General features: G+C 34.8%; 1 long non-coding RNA gene across 1 annotated transcript; it reads right to left on the bottom strand.

Moving 5' to 3' along the window:
• Positions 1 to 1,894: 1,894 nt before the first annotated feature.
• Positions 1,895 to 7,453, bottom strand: LOC105377814 (uncharacterized). The gene is made up of 3 exons (XR_941875.2): positions 7,050 to 7,453; positions 5,527 to 5,632; positions 1,895 to 2,029 (listed from the first exon to the last, which is right to left on the bottom strand). It is a non-coding gene; the product is annotated as an uncharacterized LOC105377814 (long non-coding RNA).
• Between the last annotated feature and the right edge of the window lie 1,424 nt (positions 7,454 to 8,877).

The following is an 8,877-nucleotide window of genomic DNA, read 5'->3' as shown; positions in this document are numbered from 1 at the left end:
GATATCATTTGTCAATTTTTGCTTTTGTTGCAATTCCTTTTGATGTCTTTGTCATAAAATCTTTGCCAGTTCCTATATCCAGAATGGTATTATTGCTCACTGGCCTTCCTTTACCCATTTCAAATGTATGTACAGCTGGCAGCAGATCCTAAAGACATAATGCTTCACCAGATGGGTATCTCATGACCTTACTATAATATGAAGTTTCTTTAGAAGATAGGAAATGTAGATTTCAGTGTAAGCTCTAGATAGACCAGCAGAAGCAAACAATTACCAGTATTATGAGGAGTAACATAATGAGTACTGCTATGGTTTGGATAAGGTTTGTTTGATCCTACCAAGTCACATGTTATAATTTGATCCCTAGCATTAGAGGTGGGGCCTGGTGAGAGGTGTTTGGATCATGGGAGTAAGTCCCTGATAAATGGCTTGGTGCCATTCTCCAGGGAGTGTGTGAGTTCTCACTCTTAGCTCCCCTGAGAACTGATTGCTGAAAAGAGCCTGGTGATTCCTCCTCTCTCTCTCATGCCTCCCCTCCCTCCATGTGATCTGCATACACGGGCTCCCCTTCAGCTTTTGCCATGAGTGGAAGCTTCCTGGGCCCTCACGAGATACAGATGCCAGTACCATGCTTCTTGTACAACCTGCAAAACCATGATCCAAATAAACTTCTTTTCTTTATAAATTACCCAGCCTCTAGCATTCTTTTACAGCAACACAAACAGACAAAGACAAAGAAATTCCCAAAAATGAAAAATGTGAGGTCATGGTGACAACCAAAAACAATTACAAATTTTATATATTGCTAAAAGGAATTGCTATTATTTATTTATGGCTGCCAATGGCTATCCATAAATTTGCCTGTATACTTAATGTGTGGTAATTATGTAATATGTGATTTTCGTTTAACTAAGGTTCTTAGCGTAGATTTATATTTGACCCATATTTTTTTTTTTCTTTTTTTTTTTTTTTTTTTTTTTTTGGTGACAGAGTCTTGCTTTATTGCCCAGACTGGAGTGCAGTGGTGCAGTCTCGGCTTCCTACAACCTCTGCCTCCCAGGATCAAGTGATTCTCATGCTTCCCCCTCCCAAGTAGCTGGGATTACAGGCACGTGCCACCAGGCCCGGTTAATTTTTGTATGTTTTCAGTAGAGACAGGGTTTCCCTTGTTAGCCAGGCTGGTCTTGAACTCTTGACCTCAGGTGATCCGTCCTCCTGAGCCTCCCAAAGTGCTGGGATTACAGGTGTGAGCCACCATGCCTGGCCTTGACCCATATTTTCTGCTGCTTAAATTTCTTAATATAACTATGCATTTGTCCCATGTTTAGATATCCCAAATGCTACTGGAAAATGGAATATATACCACTTACAGTGTTCTATAAAACATTATTTGGGAAAATTCATAAAAACTTTTGCAGATGAATATACCACGATTTCTGCTATTCCTACCACCTATACCTCTTTGTAAAGCTAAAATGGCGTTTCACCAAAAGGCCTTCCATTAGGTGAGAATCCAGGTTAAATTCAAGTCATGCAACAAGGTGACAAATTTATCCCTGTCCACCAGAAATCCACTGTCAGCCAGTAATCCCATTGCCATTGATATGGTTTGGATTTGTGTCCCCACACAAATCTCCTGTAGAATTGGAGGAGGGGCGTGGTGGAAGGTGACTGGATCATGGTAACAGATTTTCCCCTTGCTGTTCTCATAATAGTGAGTGAGTTCTCACAAGATCTCACCATTTGAAACTGTGTGGCACCTCCCCCTTCTCTTTCTCTCTCTTCTCCTCTGCCATGGTAAGACGTGCTTGCTTCCTCTTCGCCTTCTACCACGATTGTAAGTTTCCTGAGGCCTCCCAGTCATGCTTCCTGTTAAGCCTTCAGAACTGTGAGTCAATTAAACCTCTTTTCTTCATAAATTATCCAGTCTCAGGTAGTTCTTTATAGCAGCATGAATATGGATTTATACAGCCATCATCCAGGTCCTCATCAAAATGCAATCTCTAGTTATAGGTTATTGAGAAATCAACTGAGAGAAATATTGAGAAAATATCACTGAAGGATAATATTCAGTCTAAAAGTTTCAAAAGCATGCTAAGTTGGTCTCAGCTACTGAACTTATTTTTTATTCATTCAATTAGCAACTAATCTTTACTCAGTGTCTATCAGGTGCAGAGCACTGTTCTAGGCATGGACTGAAAATCAGTGGAAAGTCAAGTAAACACAATTCCTAGGGGTTTTTGTCCCCCTGCTGTTTTTACCCATTTGTTTTCTCAAATGGACTTCAGAAATATTTTTGTACTAGAGCAAGAATAGACAAACATGTTAATAAAAAATTATAAATAGCTCAGAAACAAATTTTATTACATGTAAAAATTTTGCAAATGATAAGAGTGTTATCAGAAATTCACAGAGACGAAAAAATTATGAAGCAAATGGCCTTGGAATAATTTATGAGTAATTTTATGAAAAAAATGTTATTTCTTCAACTCAACACCATGCAGTAAAATAGAGTAAACTCCAAAACAAAACATAGAAAACTTAAAAGAGGATACAATAGTTATCAACCCTTTATAAGGAGTTTTCACAAAGTTGATTAAAAAAATATATTTAAAAAAAAAAAAAAGACTCAGAAGGCCCGGCGCGGGGCTCATGCCTGTAATCCCAGCACTTTGGGAGGCTGAGGCGGGCAGATCACAGGGTCAGGAGTTGGAGACCAGCCTGGCCAATATGGTGAAACCCATCTCTACTAAAAATACAAAAATTAGCCAGGCATGGTGGCAGGCGCCTGTAGTCTCAGATACTCGGGAGGCTGAGGCAGGAGAATCACTTAAACTCAGGAGGCGAAGTTTGCAGTGAGCTGAGATTAGGCCACTGCACTCCAGCCTGGGTGACAGAGTGACACTCCGTCTCAAAAAAAAAAAAAAAAAAAACCTAGAAAAATAAAAATAATTTAAAGATTTGACTTGATAAAAAAGTGAAAATTTATCTGGCAAAATCAAGTTATCTGTTAAAGAACAGATTATGAAATGGTGAGATAATAATTATCTCACTATTCCACACAATGGCTGTCAAACACTTTTGTACCAAGTGTTTCACAGTTTATTCATGTAAGTGACCTACAAATTAATGAGAGAAATGCAAAGACAAGAAACATTCAACAGTCACAGGACATAAACAACAAACAACAAAATAAGCTGATGTAAAATGTAAAATAGTATCTTGTGGACAGTTTGGCAATATGTATCAAAATGATAAAGTATCCACTAACTAAAGTTTAACTTGATGAAATAATGTTAATACCAGCAAAGGCTAATGTATATATCTGTAGAAGTCTGAAAATTGTCTAAATGATCAGTAGTACAGGAATAGTTAAGTAAACTATGGAAACTGCTCTCAATAATTATCCCACTATTCCACACAACGGCTTAAGAAGTCTATGTAATAACATTAAAAAAATCATAATTAATTGAAGAAAGCTATTTAACACTTATGTAACATGATTACAATTATATAAAGATGAAATTATGCATAGAAGAAGAAATTGACTGAAAAGAAATATATTTAAGCAGAAACTAGGCATTTGGCCAAGACCAATGTCTAATTTGTAGATAACTTCCTAATTTATAAATTTTTTTTCTAAGCACTTAACATTTGAATTATGAAAGATTCCAAATAAATGTATCAAATAAACATTCAGGAGTCTCTTCTATTTATTTTTTTCTGAAAACAACATCTGAAAATGTGTGTTACCTTCAGATTGAACTGTCAAAACATAAAATTTTATAAATTCTTATATACCAGCCAAACTTACATTCATCATAACTCATCAATACTGCAGAATTTCTGGTTTTATTTCAGTACCTCATAGTTTTTAAAATCTTTGCCTGTTGAAACTTGTGATTAAACACTGAAGTTTAAGGATATTTTGGGGAAAGCACAAATGTTTCTTAAATTTTTATCTTTAAAGGATGATATTAGCATAGACAATCTATTTAAATGTTACGACACCTAATGCAGGCACCCACTCATAGCATTATAAAGTCATGACTTAAACAGAAAATCCTGTCGTTGATGTTTAAACCACACACACTTCACGAACAAGCTGCAAGCTTTCAGATTTCAACTGCAGATTTTATAAACCTTGCTAAGCCCTCTTGGTCTAAACATTGCTTTAACTAAATTTTGATATGTTGTATTTTCGTTTCCATTCAGTTCAAAATACTTTTAAATTTCCATTTTTATTTCTTCTTTCACCCGTGGGTTAAATAGAAGGTTAATTTTGAGATATGTGTACAAGTTTCTCTGATTTTTGTTGTTGCAGAGGTGTAATCAAATTCCGCAGTGGTCAGAGAACCTACTTATGATTTCAATAGTTTTTAAATTGAGCCTTGTTTTGTGGCCCAGAATATGGCCTATCCTGAAGAATTTTATATGTGCACCTGAAAAGAATGTGTATTCTGTAGTTACTCAGTATGTATATTAGTTAGATTGAGCTGTTTGATAATGTTGTTCTAGCTTTTTTTAACCTTGCTGATTTTCTGTCTAGTTGGTCCATTAGTTTTTGAGAATACAGTAATTAAATCTCCAATTATTATTCTTAAATTACCTTTTCCTCATCTTAATTTTATCACACTTTCTTTCAAGTATGGCTGTGTTATTAGTTACATATACATCTATAATTATTATACCTTCATGATTGTATTTTGCCTTTCATAACTACACAATGTCCTTCCTTGCCTTTAGTAAAATTTCTTATTGTAACTTCTGTTTTATCTGACATTAATATAACCATCTCTCTTATGGTTACTTTATGGATGATATATCTTTTTCCTCCTTTTACTTCCAACATATTCATGTCCTTGAATCCAAGATATGTCTCTTACATACAGCATGTTTCTTGTATTTTTATCCAATCTGACAATCTTTGTTTCTTAAGTAATGTGTTTGGTCCATTCACATTTAATATAATTATTACTGTGTTTGGATTTGTGCCTGCATTTTTCGATTTGATTTCTATATGTCTTGTGTCTTTTTTCAACATTGTTCATTTAGTGCCTAGCTTATAGGCACTATACATATATATATAAACACACACACACTTTCACAAAATTAGGCACTAGATGTATATAGACATGTATATACATGTATATGTGTGTGCTTGTGTATGTATAACCATTTTAATTCCTCTGCTTTTTTTTTTTACTATATTTTAGCTATCTTCTTAGTGGTGACTCCAGCAATTACGAAATGCATTTTAACTTATCATAATTTCCTTCAAAATAATACTGACTTAATTCTGGTAAAATATAGAATCTTTGCTCCAATATATCTCCTTTTCCTCTCCACTCCTTTGTGCTAATATTGTTATATATATTATCTCTATATATGTTGTAAACTCCACAATACAGTGTTATAATTAGTGTTTTGTGCAACCTTATGTATTTTGAAGGAGTTCAAAAAAGAAATGAGTAAAAATATTAATACAGTATTATTAGAAGCTTTTATATTTATCCATATAATTACCATTCACTTCTCATTTCCCTGGTGGATTTCTCTGGTGGTTACTCTCTGGTGCCACTTTCTTTCAGACTAAAAGATTTTCTTTAATTACATAAAGGAAATTGTTGAGCTGAAAAGTAAAATAAAAATCAAAAAAAATTTTTTAGTATTTTTTATAAGACATTTCTGTGGACAATTAATTCTCTCCACCTTTTTTATTTTTCATTTTCTTTTTCAGCTATTGTTTTTTGAAATATTATTTCTGTCTCTTTATCACCTCTCTCTCTGGGATTCTCATTGTATGTATACTTTATATTGTCCCATTGTTTTCTTAGGCTCTGTTCACTTTCTTCAATTACTTCTGTCTCTGTTTTTCAGATTGGATAACTTTAATTAACTCCCTTCTGACTTGTTAAGTCTCCTATTAAATGCCTTTAGTAAAATTTTCATTTCACTTATTGTACTTTTCATCTCCAGGATTTCTGTTTTTTAACATAATTTCTATGTCCTCGTATTTTTTGTTTATTGAGTCATTATCATCATACATTAATTTCATTCTATAAGCATGATTTTGTTTACATAGTTGAATATTGTCATCATACTTGCTTTAAAGTCTTTCTCAGCTAAATGCAAAATCTGGAGAAATCCAGAGATTTTCAATTAACTGTTTTTTTCCTGGGCATAGGTCTCACTTGTTTTCTTGCATATCTTGTAATTTTTTGTTGAATAATGGACATTTTAGATAATATACTGCAGAAACTCTGGATTTTTATTTACTCTCTGAGGCTTATTGTGTTGCTGATTGTTTAATAACTAGTCTAGACTAAATCTGTAAAATGTGTCTCAGTCATAACGTCTCTGCTCATTCTTTTTTTTTTTTTTCTTGCTTTTATGGCCAAGCCTGGTTTTCCAGAAATCACTGATATATTTACATAGCTTAGTGTTCATGCAAAGATTTTTCACAGGTTGTGCTCAGAAACCTCAGGCCAGCAAGGCTTCCACTCTGCTGATGGATCTGTGTGTTGCCTGAAGAACAGATTCAAAGTGCATGCCATTTTCAAGACTTCCTCAGCTTTTACTTCCCACCAAAATCTTTTGAGTCCTCTCTATGTACGTGCTTAAGGCTTGTCATCCAGGAATGTGGGGAGGGGGGCTTGAGCCCATTTCTGTCTCTGCTGCACATGCACAGAGCCTTTAGTCAATCTGGGATATATGGAGAGCTTCTCATACCCTATGACTGTTTCACTCCTGGCAAATCGTTGTTAAATCCCCAGCTAGTTCATCAGTCCATTGTTTACCCTAAACAGGACCACAACCTCAAGCTGACAGTGCTGCTGGTCCTCCCCCTTCACTTGGGTATCAATGTTTTTAACTCAGGACTTTATAACAACCACAGAAGAATTTATCTGGGAACTTAACCTACATTGTAAAGTTAATTCGAAGTAGTTCATTAACAACTTAAGCAAAGTGTCTTAGTGTGTTGCCTGTTGCTTATTATGTAATATTTGAAACTGTGTAATTTATAAAGAAAGGAATTTATTTCTTACAGTTATGGAGGCTGAGAAGTCAAAGGTTGAGAGGTCACTTCTTGTAGGGCCTTCTTGATGGTGGAGACTCTGCAGTTCCAAGGTGGTGCAAGGTATCACATGGTGAGGAGGCTGAGTGTGCTATCTCAGGTCTCTCTTTCTCTTCTTATAAAGCCACCAGTCCCACTCCCATAATAACTCATTAATCCATTATTTCATTAATCCATTAATACTTAAATTAATGAATAGACTAATTTTTTCATGAACTCCGAGTCTCTTAAACACCCCGCTTTTCCATACTGCCACATTGGGGATTAAGTTTCAGCATGTGTTTTGGAAGGGACAAATATTCAAACCATCGCACAAGACTATAACTACAGAATGTTTTTTAAAAAAATAATGTAAAGTTCTGTTCTATAATGGAATGATATGAAATATGTAGCAACTGTTATAAAATGGACCCTGGATTCAGAATGCCTGGATTTCCACCCCAGCTCTACCATTCCTAGCCTTGAAAAAATTATTCAACTACAAAATGGGACTGCCAGCAATAGTGCCTAAAAGGTTGCAGGGAAGATTAAATGAAATAATATATCTAAAGCACTTGGCACAGTACCTGGGATGTAGTAAGTACCCACTAGAGATTATGAAGCTTTTGGTCATGAATGACTTGAGTCATATTACTCCCCTGGTCCTGATCTTGTTCTCCTTAGGTAATTCCAGCAGGTTCCAGCCTGCATTAACTTTTTGGTGTTTGGGGGTTTTGTTTTCTTCAAGCTAATTCACACCATGCAGGTCATTTTCCTGATGCCAATGCTGATACAACAATTGCAAAAAATAATAGTAATACGTAATAAATATTATTGTCTGCAGTTGCTCAAAGTTTAATGAACAGAGTAAGGGTTTAGTGCCTCATCTATACATGGTTTATCAATGTATTTCTACCACTTTTAGAGTAACATTTATTTTTCTCTTTCTAGATACTTTTGCACCAATATGCACAACCCAGAAACTATAGTAGTTGGGGCTGCCCAATAGAAACTCTTTGAATGTTTGTGAACATCTTCTGGGGTATGCTACTGCAGGAGTAATTCTTAAGTGAATAAACTCTTGTCTGTGCTGAGGGAATCCTCTGACACTTTCCTCCATTCTTTTATGGTTATTTCCTATCTCTTGAAACAAATATTTACTGTCTCTGGATCCATTTTCTCTAGGAGTTGAGACTTCTGTCTAACACAGGGCTTTGTTATTTAACTGTTTCATATTTAGTATACATGTGTTTACTTATATTTGTTAGTGGTATTCAACCACTTACCATAATACTGGGTGGTGAAGTAAAAAAGAAAAGCATGACTAATCCAAATTTTAAATCTAATTATTTGGAGGTATTTATTCACAGGAGTTTCTCTTTTAGAATCTACACCAATTGAATTAAGTAAATGTCTTCTATGTGCTCTTCTGGAGTTTATAATACAACACAGATGCTGTTAATGATAATAATAGGTTATATTTGTGCAGTGATTGCATGTGCCAGGTATTATTCTAAGAGCCTTGTGCATATTACCTTATTTAAATTCACAACGACCTTTCAACTTTGATACCATTATTATACCAATTTTACAATTGAGAGAATTATGGCTTAGGGAAATTAAGTAGCTTGCTTAAGGGCAGAAATAGTATGAAATAAAGCAAGTTTGACTCCAGAGCCTTAGCTCTTAGCTGCCAAGGTATACTCCATTCCATAATAATGATTAACATTTACAGAGTGCTTACTATCTACCAAACACTCTTCTAAATATCATACATGTAACTCCTTTAATCCCAATCATAGCCCTAAAAGTTTTATTTT

Source organism: Homo sapiens, chromosome 13 (genome assembly GCF_000001405.40).
Source record: "Homo sapiens chromosome 13, GRCh38.p14 Primary Assembly".
Taxonomy (NCBI): Eukaryota; Metazoa; Chordata; class Mammalia; order Primates; family Hominidae; genus Homo; species Homo sapiens.
This window is presented reverse-complemented; position numbering and strand designations above follow the sequence as displayed.